This window comes from Homo sapiens, chromosome 8, assembly GCF_000001405.40.
Source record: "Homo sapiens chromosome 8, GRCh38.p14 Primary Assembly".
NCBI classification, from domain to species: Eukaryota; Metazoa; Chordata; class Mammalia; order Primates; family Hominidae; genus Homo; species Homo sapiens.
In genome coordinates this window covers 60,743,864-60,758,728 of record NC_000008.11, presented here as the reverse complement: position 1 = coordinate 60,758,728, position 14,865 = coordinate 60,743,864, and the positions used below count along the sequence as shown (strand labels likewise).

Sequence of the window (14,865 nt, the reverse complement as noted above, 5' to 3'; positions counted from 1 at the left end):
TGAGTTGAATGGGCCACCCTTTTTGTTTTTTTAAGGAATATTGTTTTTACTTGAAAGTCCAACTGAAAGACAAGCCACAGATATTCAGACTCAAGTATTTGGCAGTAATTCTCTTGAAATAAAGTGAGCCAATCACTTCAACGAAAGTAACTCATGGTGTTTATTTACAATAATAAAATATGAGCTCTCAAACAAAAGTGAGAATTTTGAAAACACCCATGAGCTCAACAACTTCTCAATCTTTAAAGACTTTTCTGAGAAGTCAGTGGTAATACCAACAAATGTGATTTTTAAAAAATATTGTAGACTGGGTGCAGTGGCTCATCCCTGTAATCCCAGCACTCAGGAAGGCCAAGGGGTGCGGATCAGTTGAGCTCAGGAGTTTGAGACCAGCCTGGGCAACACGGTGAAACCCCATCTCCACAAAAGATACAAAAAAATTAGCCAGGTGGGTAGTCTCATCTACTAAGGAGGCTGAGGTAGGAGGATTGCTTGAGCCTGGGAGGTAGAGGACGCAGTGAGCCATGATCATGCCACTGCACTCCAGCCTGGGTGACAGAGTAAGACCACCTCAAAAAAAAATGTATACAAAAATCAGAAGATTGGCATAATTCAATGAACCAATAAGGGGGTTATTATTATTTTTAAATGAATAAATGTATTTTTTAAATTTCCTAGTTTTCATTTCTGATATGGTAAATAACAACAGATAAAACCAGAATAAACAAAAGCTCTTTGGGGTTCTCAATATTTAAGAGCATCAGGATTTCAAAACTAAAACATTTGAGAACTATTACTTTAAATAAAACAATTATAAACAGACAAGCAGTTACCTGAACATATTTGTCTCACATATTAAATAATCTGGATGAATGCCCCCACCTGCCTTAGTAGCAGGAAGGTTAAGTGTTCTTTCTTATACTAATCATGCCTCATTTTATTAACTAGAATAGTTCTGGTATCTAAGTATCAAATCAGAGTGGCTCAAAATACATTCTATCAGAACTAACACTGTCATCTTTGGTATCTATTTTCTAAAAGTCCCCCTTTCCACCTTCCTTTTTACAATCACTTCTCTTTACCAAAATGGCTTTCACTCATCCCAAATATTATTACAGTGTGTTGCCCTGGAGTATAAAAACCTCTGGGACACCAACCTCTTTAGGAAGAGTCACTTGGCAGCAAAGCAGAGAGTTAATAAATATCAAGAGGGCAGTCCTTCATTTCATCCAGGTGACAAATGCCTGTTTAGTGAGATAATTGTCATGAAGACAAACACATTTTAATGCATGTATTCAAACTGAAAAAGAGAATTTTTTTTAAAATTCTCTTAGGAGACAAAAAAGTTTGAAGACTACTTCTCTACCAATTATGATTCTAGAATTGCACTGTCCAATAGTAGTCAGTAGCCAAATATGGCTGTTTAAGTTGGTTAAAATTAAAATTTAAAATTCAGTTCCTCTGTCATACTAGCCCCATTTCAAGTGCTTCCTAACCACAAGGGCCTACAGGCTACCATACTGGACACCAAAAAGAAGACTTCTATCATCCCAGAAAATTCCACTGGACAGAGCTCTCTGGAATCTTCATTTAATAAAGGGCTGGATTTCCTACAGTCATTTTTTAAGGCCCCAATCCCAGCAGAATGTGGGAAATTTCCATCCAGGTGAGGACAAATGTTAGAGACTCAATATAGAATATTCATCCTACGATCCTCTTTTCTGGTTTTCAAAGAATGGAGCTCTTCTCTCCAGCAATAAGATGTAAAATTAGTACTTTAGACCCTTTTTAAAAATCAAGTTGAGATTCATGTAACATAAAATTAAGCATTTTAAAGTGAGCACTTCAATGGCATTTAATATATTTGCTTAGACTTGATGACTTAAAGGATTTGGCAAATTATTTTCTATCAAGGTCCTACCCATGACCTAATTAATAAACCAAAAATCTAGTGGATATTAACTAAGATATGCAATGCACCCACCCCATCCATTTTAAATGTGTGTGTGTGTATGCGCGTATGTGTGTGTGCATTTAAAAGAGACAGTCTCACTATGCTGCCCAGGCTGGAGTGCAGTGGCTATTCACAGGTGCAATTATGGCACACTGTAACCTCCTCAAACTCCTGGGCTCAAGCAATCCTCCTGCCTCAGCCCCCCAGATAGCTGGGCTACAGGTGCACACCACCGTGCCTGGCCTTAAATATTTTATATGAAGCATTTGTGACAGGGACTTTTTTGGGATTAACAACTTTCTAAAATATCACTTATACCATAAAACAAGATGCTATACTTGCATTAGTTAAAACAATATGCTGTGTTTAACAATTGGCTGATACCCAGCAAAAATTTATTCCAAAAAATCATGAAGTGACTTATGTCAGCATTACCATGTATAGATGACTATATCCTATCACTACATCACAAGGCCAAAGACACGAGATACCCATGGTTTCAGGGCCACCTATTAAGAGGTGAGAGAGAATAAAAGTGGAAACACAAAGCTTACACTGGCTACATATGCAACAAAAAACTCTCCTTTCTATTTTTAATTGTGCTCTACATCTTATTTTCTGATACTTGAAATAATTTGGCTTGTGTGGTTATACTTCAGTGGTCCTATATGAAAGTCACTAGCCTCATGGCTATTTAAATTAAAATCAAATAAAATTAAAATTTCAGTTCTTCAGCCTCACTAGCCCCATTTCAAGGGTACAGTAGCCATTTGTGGCTAGTGGCTACCATATTGGACTGAGCAAATATAGAACATTTTCATCATGACAGAAAGATCACGGACAGTACTAGGTTATATATTTTCTACAAACACTCATTATTAGCATGATATCAAAGAACACGGCAAACCTTCTTTAAAAAATAACTTGGAAAATCCTAGATACTTTCTGATACATTTCAGTACACGGTTATATTTAAAAGGGTTTTCTTTCCTTAAACCTTGAGTTGACTGAACATACATGACAGCCTGGATTGCAACCACTCTATAGTATAAAATTCAGGAAACATTTCATTTAATACACAGATTGTATATAGATTACAATTCAATAAAATACATATAAAAATATACACAATATTTAGTAAACATATTACAACTGATGGACATTAGATAAATAGGTTTTCTGTTTACTTTTTTCAATCTCATTTTTACCAATATTTTTATTTAAAAATACATTAAAATATTGTTAAAAATATTTAAAAACTATAGTGTATAAAGTTGGAAGATAATAAACAAAAGGGTCTTCTCCCTATATTTAAATTTGAGCAAAGACAGAACCACTCTTTCTTGCAGAGAAAACCTGGCTCCAAGCTCAATTCTTACACAAGTCTCTTCTCGCTCTAAATAGTAAATTCTTAAAAAAAATGGCAATGGTGTTACAGTGCTGCCCATAAATGTTTTTTATGGATAAAAACTGTCTCCAAAAATGTAAACCTTCCTTACTTATTTGAAAAAATGTGAACTGCCTTCTTATTTTTTAAAATTTAGCTACTAAATTACACTGCAGCCAACCTTTCAATTCTTTTGTGTCTTCCACACTTTAAAACCTATGAAGTTACTTTTTAAGAAAAAAAAACAGATTAGGATAAAGAAGCATTATAAAAATCTTAAGTGGGATAGCCTTCATAAATCAACTGAGTTCACAACAGGGCCTTCAGTGCCAGTCAACAGGAACCCATCCACTAAAGTATAAGTTCATCTCAGGGTTTTGGAGAGCACACCATGAAAACATGGTAAGATGCTAGTAACAACAAGGGCATGAAGTGGATCACTGGATTTAAGGTACTTGTAAGTTTAAAATTATACTTAACAAAGACTTAGTACTACTGAACTTTCTCTATGTAGAACTACATATATTATAGGTCAGTGGATGAACTTCTTGCATGCTAGAGGGAATACCAGCGACCATCCCTAGCAATATGAAACAGGACGTCAACTTAACCTGCCATTTGAAGTTTCTGAAAACTAAGTGATGGTTTTCACCTTGGTTGAAGTTAGAAAGAAACACTTAGAAAGCAGCTAGTATTTTATATACAGTAATATTTCCTAGAGATTCAACTGAAAAGAAATACAGTAGTGTGATGGTAATTTTTGCTCCCCCCTACAAAACATTATGAATTTTTGTCTGCCTTATGGAGAATCTAGTAAGTTGATTTTTAAGGCACTGATAGATGATGTCCTGTTTTCCAAAATAAGGGAAAGTCAGTCTACTTCAAAGTGAAAGAGTAGAAGGTAAAAAAAGAAAGAATTCCAAAAGCTCATTTTGATAATCACTACAACAGTAGTTAAAATAAAAAATATTTAACATTTATTGGGCATATACCACATGCTGTGCTAAAAATTTTACAGTCATTATCTCATTTAATTCTCATAATTCTGTATAATCGGTACAATCACTGTATCAAGAAACTGAGGTTTAGGGAAGTTAAGTATGTATCATTTAAGATGACTTAAGAAAAAAATGGAAGAGCCACATTTAAATGGAGTTCTCAGTGTATATGAAGCCTGTGGTCTTCACAACTCTGTGCTCTTGCCTGCCCAGCAACCTGTGCTAGCAGTGAGGGGCAGAGTCCTGGCAGCTCCACCTAGTGTGTGACCACTACACAGAATAGTGGAGGGGTGAGAGGCTTAAAAAATGACAGAGAAAACATTAAATGAAAGAAATAAACTGACACTTGTCTCTTTGCATTTACTTACTTTGGAATTAAATTTATATTCAGTATGAAATACCACTCTAGCATCTAACATGGCTCTTTGACGTGGGGAGCTTATTAAAACTGATTTAATGATTTGCAGCAGGGCGCGGTGGCTCACACCTGTAAACCCAGCACTTTGGGAGGCTGAGGCAGGTGGATCACCCGAGGAAAGGAGTTCGAGACCAGCCTGGCCAACATGGTGAAACCCCGTCTCTACTAAAAATACAAAAATCAGCCAGGTGCGGTGGTGGGCGACTGTAGCCCCAGGTACTCTGGAGGATGAGGTGGGAGGATCACTTGAGCCCAGGAGATGGAGTCTGCAGTGAGCCAAGATCGCACCACTGCAAACTCCATCTCCTGGGCGACAGAGCAAGACTCCATCTCAAAAGAAAACAAAACAAAAGAAAACAAAACAAAAAACTGATCTTATTATTGGGCTCATTTTTATTCTATGAATGGCTAGTCTCTTACTGTTGTTGTTTGTTTTCTTCATCAATGATATCCTAGCTTAGAGACCTTATTTATGTGTGAATATTGGTTTTGAACTTTCTTGCAAAAAGTAAAACTGCAAGCCTTAAGCTCACATCTAAGGAAAGATGTTTTCCAAAATTAGACTGAATTATTTCCTTCTTTGATCTAAGTCTTCTACCATGATTTTCAAGTAAGAAAGACACGTTGTTGCATCAGAGGTCAGGTTAGGCAGGACACTGAGCACAGGGGTTCCCACAGCGCCTTATTCCAGTATGAAGATGACTACTCCCTTGACATGTTCCACTGTCTGGATAAATATATTTAAAGTGAACAGAAAAAAACATTCAGAGAAATCGATGACAAAAATGAAATACTACTTAGCATCTTACTTAAATAAAACACTTTCCCTAAAAAACTCTGACTTATCTCCTTTAATCCAAGGGATGTCTTCATGCATTTCAATAGCTCTCATTCAGGGAAATGTCTCTGACATATTTGAGCAGCCAAAAATGGAGTTAGCTTAGTAATGGGCCAATTTAAAGCAAAGTCAGCATATTCTACTTATTTATTGTCCCAGTTCCATTTCTCCCTGTGGTTACTTAGATATTATCTATAGATTTACAGCTGTAACTCCAGAGAATGGAGAGTAACATTAAGATGTCAAGATCAAGGTAAATTCTCCAAGTTAGTTCCCCACAGTTTATTTCTAGCACACTCCAAAGTGGTTAAACTTGGTATCTCTTCATGCTAGACTTGTTTTTAAAAATAACAGTGAAAACAAACACATCACAAATTGCAAAAATCCCACAATTTTCTATTATTGTTTTTTAATGGAAGAAAATCTTCAAGTTACAAGAGTCCATCAAGAAACATGATCTAAAAATCAAACTTTAATGTCAAGTATTTCTATATTCAATAAGAATTTTAAGTCTATACCCTCCCCTTTCATTAAAGAGCACATTTAGATACATACCTTCAAAAAACAAAAAGTTTTCAGAAAAAGAATGATCTAAAGTTCTTTGCCTGTTCACAAGAAAGGATATGCACCCTGCAACCTCCCAACTGCCTAAACTGAGCAGCCGCTGGCAAGAGGCCAGAACACTTCACAGCCCACCAAATGGGTGAGAGTGGAATTCCTATGCTAATATTGCAAACCTGTTTCAGCCAGTCTATGAATAGATTAGACAGGAAAGGCATAAGTTAAGCTAGAACACTTGCCATTCGAAAAACCCTCCACACAGTCTCCCAGCACCACTGCTTGCACCTCCTCAATATTCTCCAATGCTTTCTACCCATGGCCAAAACAAACAAAAAGACTCTTTAAGATTAATAACACTTGCTTACACCCTAAAACAATTGTTTTTTTGCTTTCACACAGTGAGCCAAGTTACACAGTTAACATAGTTAAGGTTAACGTCTAGGACTCCCGAAACCTATGGTACAGAATGATTTAGAACTAAACACAGAAAGCAGTAGAGGAAAACAGGACAAATACACTTTAAAGAATATCACAAATATTATAGTCTTCATTAATATTAAACAGCATCAAAAAGGCATGTTTTTGATCCAATCTTTAAAATAAGAGGTAAGGAAGTGCCTTGCAGCCTTCCCTGGCCATCACTCCCATCGTCCTGGAAATTGTCCAGGATAAAAAACAAGCAAGATGATGCAGGTAGTCCTGTATCTACGTTGACTTTTTTAAATGCAACGCTGTCAATTTCTTGGCATTTTGCCAACTTCAAGTTCTCCATCACCTGTAATCATGTCCTAGCCCTCCACCACTCCTGCAGTCATGTCCTAGCCCTCGAAGGTTCTCCTCCATTTTTTACACTAAGTGAAGGAAAAACAAAATAAAACCTCACTCCTGGTGACACACCATAAACTACTAAAGTTTTACAAGGCAAAAGGACAAGTACAAGTTTGCTACTGACTTTCTTCACTGATACAAGAGCTGCATTCAGCAACAAAGGAAATACCAGGGCCATCTCTGCATGGCTACTTAAGGATTATCTATAGATTTACAGCTGTAACTACAGAGAATAGAAAATAACATTAAGATGTCAAGGCTAGGGTAAATTCTCCAGATTAGTTCTCACAATGCTGTTCCCTTAATTGTCCCCCTAACCCACTTCCCAATTCTTCTTCCTCAGCCAACTATTGCTCTGCTGTACCAGAGACTGCCGTTCTGAAAGATTATTATAACAGGGAAGAAAAAGGCAGCACAGAAGAAAAAAGTGAAAGAAATGGGGAGGGGGGATCATGCATATTAATAAAAATGAAGGCTTTTTCCCTTATCCTGGAGAGTCAATTTCATGAAGAAACAAGCAATTGTATTAGAGACAGGCAAAAAGCTAGGGGATAGAGGTGAGGAATTAACTACCAAAAGTATCCAAACGCCACTCAAAACTAAAATCTTGAAAATGTCTGTAATCCACCTTTCAGACAAACACGCTATTTTTTCCCACAGGACAAACACCATTTATGTAGCCTTCTTTGAAACTCAAACAAATGAAATCAAACTTCAATAACGTATCTTGTCAAGAACTGATACTAATATCCCTAACACAGGCACACCCCCTAGTACTGCATTTATTCATTATACCTAAAAACACCGCTACTACTTCCTTAACCTTACAGCAAAGGTGGGTAACACCTGTCTTGGAGGATGACTGTCATAATTACACTAACAATTTTACATTTATTTACATGTGAATAAAATTATTTATACTCTGACTTGTTTTTAAAAAGAATTTGCAGCAACTGATAGGGAAAGAGTCTAGCATGTGCTGTTTAATATGCAGCCACCAGCCATGTGTGGTCACTGAGCAACTGAGATGCAGCTCACGCAATCTGTGTAAAATACATATCAGGTTTTAAATTCTTGCGTAAAATATCTCACAAGCAATTTTTTATACTGACTACATGTTGAAATGTCTTGGATATGTTGGTTTAATTAAATGTATTACTAAAATTAGTTTTACCAGTTTCTTTAATGGTAAAATGTGGTTACCAGAAAATCTGTATCAACATAAATGCGTTGTATTTGTAGCTCCCATCATATAACTGGACAGTTCTGGTCTAGAACATAGTAAGTACACAAAGATAGGACAGCCAGAAATGTTATACTTAAATAACAAAATTCCCTTTCCACCTCGGTGGAGGTTGCTGTCTCCTCCCTGCCTTCCACCATACCAGCAATCTCTCCTTAACACAGTCCTTGGCACATAACAGGCACTAAATAAGTATTTCTTTCATGTGGTACTGCCTTTCATGAAGGTACCTAAGACACCAAGATGAAAATGCAGCACCAAAAGTGGCTTCTTTTAAGAATATCAATTGGGACACCTAGCAGAGGCCTAATATCCAGGCTTCAAAGGTAAACTAACAAACTAAATTCTTATCACCTACAAAATTTTTGATGTCACATAAAACAATACTCTTTTACAAAATAAAAGCCATCTAAGGAGCGAGGCTATCAGCCATTCATGCTTTCAGACTATGGGGTGAAAGGACAGATGGAGTAGATTTTTCCCTGTGCTTTAACTTGACACCTGGTATAATTCTGACCTCTGGGATAAACCAGCTTGTTGGATGTTGAGGAAAAACGCAGACAGGTTACTCAATAAGCTGTAGTATATATAAATTGAAGTAGTCAAAAGAAATACTTTAAGAGTCTTCGTGAGAAACCACAGGCTGTTGAGAGCAACCTATGGCCCAGGAAAGAGAGACCAGTAAAGGCTGGATGGTTTGCTTTAACTAAAGATGTCATGAAGAACTAGCAGTGGGCCACAGCAAGTGAGAAAGCAGTGATTTCTTTTGCCTTCCTTCTGTGAGCACCAGATGGGGCAACCTGCTCCAATGAGGTCCAGCCTGGGTGCCTGTTTTCTGAAGGTGCATATACCTGCAAAAGCCCCTGAATACCACTTAGGTAAAAGCTGATTTTTTTTTAGAGACATTTTGTTTTCCCATCTTTCCCAGATGTCTTTAGAAGTGAGAAAGGTAGTATTGACAAGATACATCTGCTCTCCATTAAAAAGGTATTTTTGTCTATTTCTGATTACAACCTGCATACGTAATCCTTAAGAAACACAGCCACCTTTTTCCATAAATTTACTTAGTTGCCAATTACTCTGCCCATGTCTGTAATTTGTAATTCCTTTTTTTTTTTTTTTTTTTTTTTTGATACAGAGTCTTGCTCTGTTGACCAGGCTGGAGTGCAGTGGCATGATCTTGGCTCACCACAACCTCCGCCTCACGGGTTCAAGCGATTCTCCTGCTTCAGCCTCCCAAGTAGCTGGGATTTCAGGCATGCACCACCACGCCTGGCTAATTTTTGTATCTTTAGTAGAGACAGGGTTTCACTATGTTGGCCAGACTAGTCTCGAACTCCTGATCTTGTGATCCACCCACCTCGACCTCCCAAAGTGCTGGGATTACAGGCGTGAGCCACCACGCCCGGCCTTGTAATTCTTTATTTACTGGGTAAACTTAAAGAATCTCAGTATAAGATTGATGCTACTTGAGATTTACCAATAAAAGGTTTTCCCTGAAAGGCTATTTTTTTAAAAAAAAAAAAAAAAATTGTACCACTGATTCTTCCAGGTTTTTTTTAATCTCAAGGGAAAATGAGGAGATGGGAAATTATTACCTATCACCTCAATCTTAGTAGCTTTTAAATTTTTTTTCTACTTCCGTTTCATGATGACTGTTATTTCAGGACCAAATTAATGAAAAAGGTACAAATGTATCCAAAATAAACTTATTTTAAGGACACCTTGTTGCAGATCCTAAAAATTCAACTAGAACTTTCCATTTAAGAGCATAATCCATGATCTGGGACACGTCTATGGACTGTGCAGTGTAAATTCTATCCAGAAACTCAGGGACTTGCCTGTAACCTTAAGAACAATCCACTTAATTAGTCTTTCTTTAGATAAGCTCTTCAAATGAACAAAATGTTGCTCTGTGCCTTCCTTGCAGATTGTTCTCATCCATGTTCACAGTGTACTGATAAACCTTTCATTTTTGGTTCCACCCCCTCTCCACCCTCTTCGTACTCCTGGGTGCTGCAAAGAGCCCCATGGTGCTGTGTCCATGCTGAAAACACCTCCTAGTGCCCTCCAGTGCCATGGGCCCAGGACCATGCAGCTTTCTGTCCACTAAGCCCCAGACCTACATTCCAGCAATACTAGGGACACTCAAGGCCCAAAGGGCTTTCTGATCTTTGCACTCATTGTTTCCTAAATCTTAAACTCTTTTCCCTCCTTTATCCATCCTTCTCTCAACTTAGACTGATCCTTCACATCTCAGCAAAGACATCACTGCCCCCAGAAAGCCCTCCCAGACCCCCACCTCGCCCACTTTAAGAATGACTTTAAAGATCAGTGCTGATCTCTACAGTGTGCTTTTCATGGCATATTCTTGCCTGCATCTTCCTGCTCACACAGCAAGATTGTTCTCCCTCCCTCAAAGAAAAGCACATACGAAGCCTCAATATTTGATAAGTGTTCACTAAAACCAAGGATGTAAAGTCAAACAACTATGAAAATGTTTGACATTGAAATATGTAAGATTCTTCTTAAAGCTCTGCAACAGGCAATTCTGAACACTTGCTAGATGTATTGTTTTTGAGTCCCCACTGTTAAGCACTTAAAAGACATTACTACTAATCTCACTGAGCCTCTAACCAGGAAGGCATATGATCCCTCACTTCAGAGATAATGAAATGAAGTCCTGACACCCTTACTAACGTCAGGTGGTGACGTTAAGCGGTGGTGCTCCTATTCAAAAACTCAGACTCCAAAGCCTGTACTCTTTCCTTCATACCAGTGGTTCTAAAATTGTGGGCCAGGGTTTCTGTAGGGTCTGTGAGACCAGAACTATTTCTACATGATCCTGAGATGTTATTTGCTTTTTCATCCTCATTTTTTCCAAATAAGCTGTAAACTTGTCCAGAGGCTTATGACTAGCACATAGACTACATTCAGAAGCAGATGTGAAAATCAATATTTGATAAATATAAAACAATGCCACTAATTTTGTCTTGCGAAAACTTATCTTTCATTTTTTAAAAAGTTATCTTTCATTTAAAAAGTATTATGTATGTTAACACATAATGGTTTATTATTTTTAAATAATTAACAAATCAATATTTTAAACTTTCATCAATATTTTAGCCAGGCAGGGTGGCTCATGCCTGTAATCCCAGCACTTTGGGAGGCCACAGCGGGTGGATCATCTGAGGTCAGGAGTTTGAGACCAGCCTGGCCAACATGGTGAAACCCCATCTCTACTAAAAATACAAAAAAAAAAGCTGGGCGTGGTGGCGGGTGCCTGTAATCCCAACTACTAGGGAGTATGAGCAGGAGAATTGCTTGAACCTGGGAGAAGGAGGTTGCAGTGAGCCAAGAACGCGCCACTGCCCTCTAGCCTGGGCGAAAGAGTAAGACTCCGTCTCAAAAATAAAGAAAGACATAAATACATAGGTAAACAATAAAAAACTTAAAACTTTCTGAGACAGTAAATATCAATACATATAACTCACATAGCTAACACACACTCTTTGGAGTCCCCAGTAATTTTTAAGAATGTGTAGAGGTCTGAGATGAAAAGTTTGAGAAAAACTGTTCTAATTAGCTATTGAAAAAGAAATATAAGCTAGGGTTTTTCCCTTCCCTGTAAATCTTATCAAATAATCGAAAAGTCTAGCACTTCCATTAAAGAAATGTCCATATACCAAAATGTGTAATTTTTCACATTGTGATCTGATGAACTGTGGCCTTTTTGTTCTAACATTTTTCTTTGTTGACTTTTCAATATAAAGTTAAACTTATCTTTAAAGATACTTAAATGTGTTCCATAATCTAGAAAATATCCATTCAGAAGCCAGGAAACACATAAAGAACATAATTTCTATTTTTAAAAAGCGAAAAACTCAAGAAGAGTTAAGTCTACCTGAAAGTGATATTTTCATTATCAAGTTAAATGGACATTTCAACCTAATCTGGTATCTTCCCTGATACCTGGTATAGTATTGAGCCACTACTCCATCATATATAAAATGCAAAATAATTTTAGTAGCTCTAAAGCAAAACATAATTAAATAAAAATATTTCCTAGGGTAGAATGTCAATCATTCAGAGAGAGAGATTTTAAAGGTATAGGATAGTATTTTGAATTACCCATATTATTATCCTCCTCACATGTGGCAACACAGTCTAAAAGGGGGATAATATTTGCACAAATCAAATTTAGTTATTTCATAACTAAGGCTGTATTACATAATATTTAACCTATCCTTAAAAATAAAGTTAATTTTGGTGAAACCTCGTTTCCACTAAAAATACAAAAATTAGCCAGGCACGGTGGTGCGCGCCTGTAGTCCCAGCCACTCAGGAGGCTGAGGCAGGAGAATCGCTTGAACCTGGGAGGCAGAGGTTGCAGTGAGCCAAGATTGCGCCACTGACTCCAGCCTGGCAACAGAGTGAGACTTCATCTCAAAAAATAATAAATAAATAAAGTTAATTTTACATTGTATCTACATGGGAAATGACATAATTATGTAGCAAGGTTTGCACTTCAGGAGATCAGAAGCTAAAATTAGAGGAGAATTAACATATATACCATGGAGTGGACATTATACTAGGCACTCGGTATATGTTAAGCCCACTTAATCTAACACCCTTTGTGCTGGGTGCTATTTTTCCTGCTTAACTAATGAAAAATCTGAGGTAAAGAGAAGTTAAATCCTTTGCCTAAGATCACCAGGTTAATAAGCAATAGAGCTGGGGTCCACATATCTTTCTAACTTTAAAGTCTATGTTCTGTGCCTGAGACTTCACACCTCCCTAGCCTTATGTTCAAAACTGAGTGTTTCAAAATCTGAAGAGGATGCAAAGTTAAGCAGAAATAAGAAAGCAAATAATCAATGAGCAAAATGGAAAACATAATTGTACTTAGAATGAAAATACCTCAAATGTCCTAGTTTACATCCCTGTAAAGGTCCTGAGTTTGCCTATAATGACACATTCAAAGAAGGAGGGAATGCATGTGGGCTCTCCTGAAGTCTAGCACCGGACACAGCAGGCATGGAGCCTCCACTGGTCAAGGATTCAAACGCCACAGACTCACACATGTCCTCTGAAATGCCCACTGAGGCATCTGTACTCTTAAAACCCAGGAAAGCTGGAGGAGAGCAACAATTCTCATCCAGGGATCAGATTATAATCACAGGGTGTCTTCCAAACTGTGCTCACCCTCCGGTGAAGACAGAGGATGTCGGAATGAGAAGTCTGAGAAACCACTGCTCTAAAATATCCCTTGCTTAGTAAGAAACTTTCCAGGGAATAAGAAAATAATAATTCCTAAAAACTAAGTCACATTCATTTCTGTCCTAAAAGCCACCCAGGTCTGCTGGCCTCAGAGACAGTACTTTTGGTCCGCTTTGAGGAGAGGCGTTCTGCCCTGAGGTTATATAAGAATCACCAAGGGTGGTTATATGAGGATCACCAAGGTCTTCAGGGAAGCTGCCCTGCCCACCGGCTGAGGGCAGCTTCCCTGAAGCCACTACTTGTCCTGTGGTCCCAGGAGTCTTCCTGACCTCCACTCCCTCAGCCCAGCTTAGGACGAAGCTTCAGAGCCTCTGTATTAAATGCCTGCGTGAATCTAAAATTAAAAAAAAAAAAATTTTTTTTTTTTTAGATGGAGTCTCGCTCTGTTGCCCAGGCTGGAGTGAAGTGGCACAATCTCAGCTCACTGCAACATCCACCTCCCAGGTTCAAGCGACTCTCTTGCCTCAGCCTCCCAAGCAGCTGGGACTACAGGCATGCACCACCATGCCCAACTAATTTTTTGTATTTTTTAATAGAGACGGGGTTTCACCATGTTGGCCAGTTTGGCATTGAACTCCTGATCTCAGATGATCTGCCTGCCTCGGCCTCCCAGAGTGCTGGGATTGCAGGCATGAGCCATTGTGCCTGGCCTAAAATACTTTTTTTTTCTTTTTTTTAATGAACTGACAAAAAGCATAGAAGACAATTATCACCACTAAAAAAAAAAAAAAAAAAAAAAAAAATGCTGCTCTGAGATGCCCTGAGTGGCTTTGTTTACTGACTAAACCCTTTTACTTTCAACACTGCTTCAATGCCTTCTGCTCCCACTTTGATCCTTCTGGTCCAAACTGTCCTCAAAGGCCTAGAAAACAGGTTCACACTTCATCTTCTCCTTCTCCATCTGTCCTGTGGACTGTCTAATCAATATCACTGGCTCCCTCCCCGTTTAAGTCCAAATTCCTTAAAAAGGAATCCAAGATCACAACAATCTGGCCCTGACTGATACTTTCCAACCTATTCCCTGCAGCAAGCTTGACTTCCCGTGCCCTTGTTTAGCAAACCATCCCCCAGTCTCAACTGCTGACCTGGGTTCACCTCCCCGGGGTAAGGCCTAGCCAAATTCCAAGCACTCTCAACTACAGGTTATTTCCTCTCTCTGGACATTTGTCACATAATCATGCCTGGTCTCTCACTCCTCTGTATTTTCACATGCAAGTCTTATTTCCCCAAAATTGATAATAAGTCCATCAAAACAAGCACTATGCTTTATAGCTCTAAAATCAGCTACTGTGCACCCCAAAAACAGAGCTGCAATTCTGGTAGATAATCAGTATATATTTTTGAATAGCACTAAGAAT

General features: G+C 38.1%; 1 protein-coding gene across 11 annotated transcripts in view; it reads right to left on the bottom strand.

The window, feature by feature from the left end:
- CHD7 (chromodomain helicase DNA binding protein 7) overlaps nt 1–14,865 on the bottom strand; it is a 189,289-nt gene that overhangs the window by 109,300 nt on the left and 65,124 nt on the right. The gene's annotated exons all lie outside the window — the stretch shown is intronic.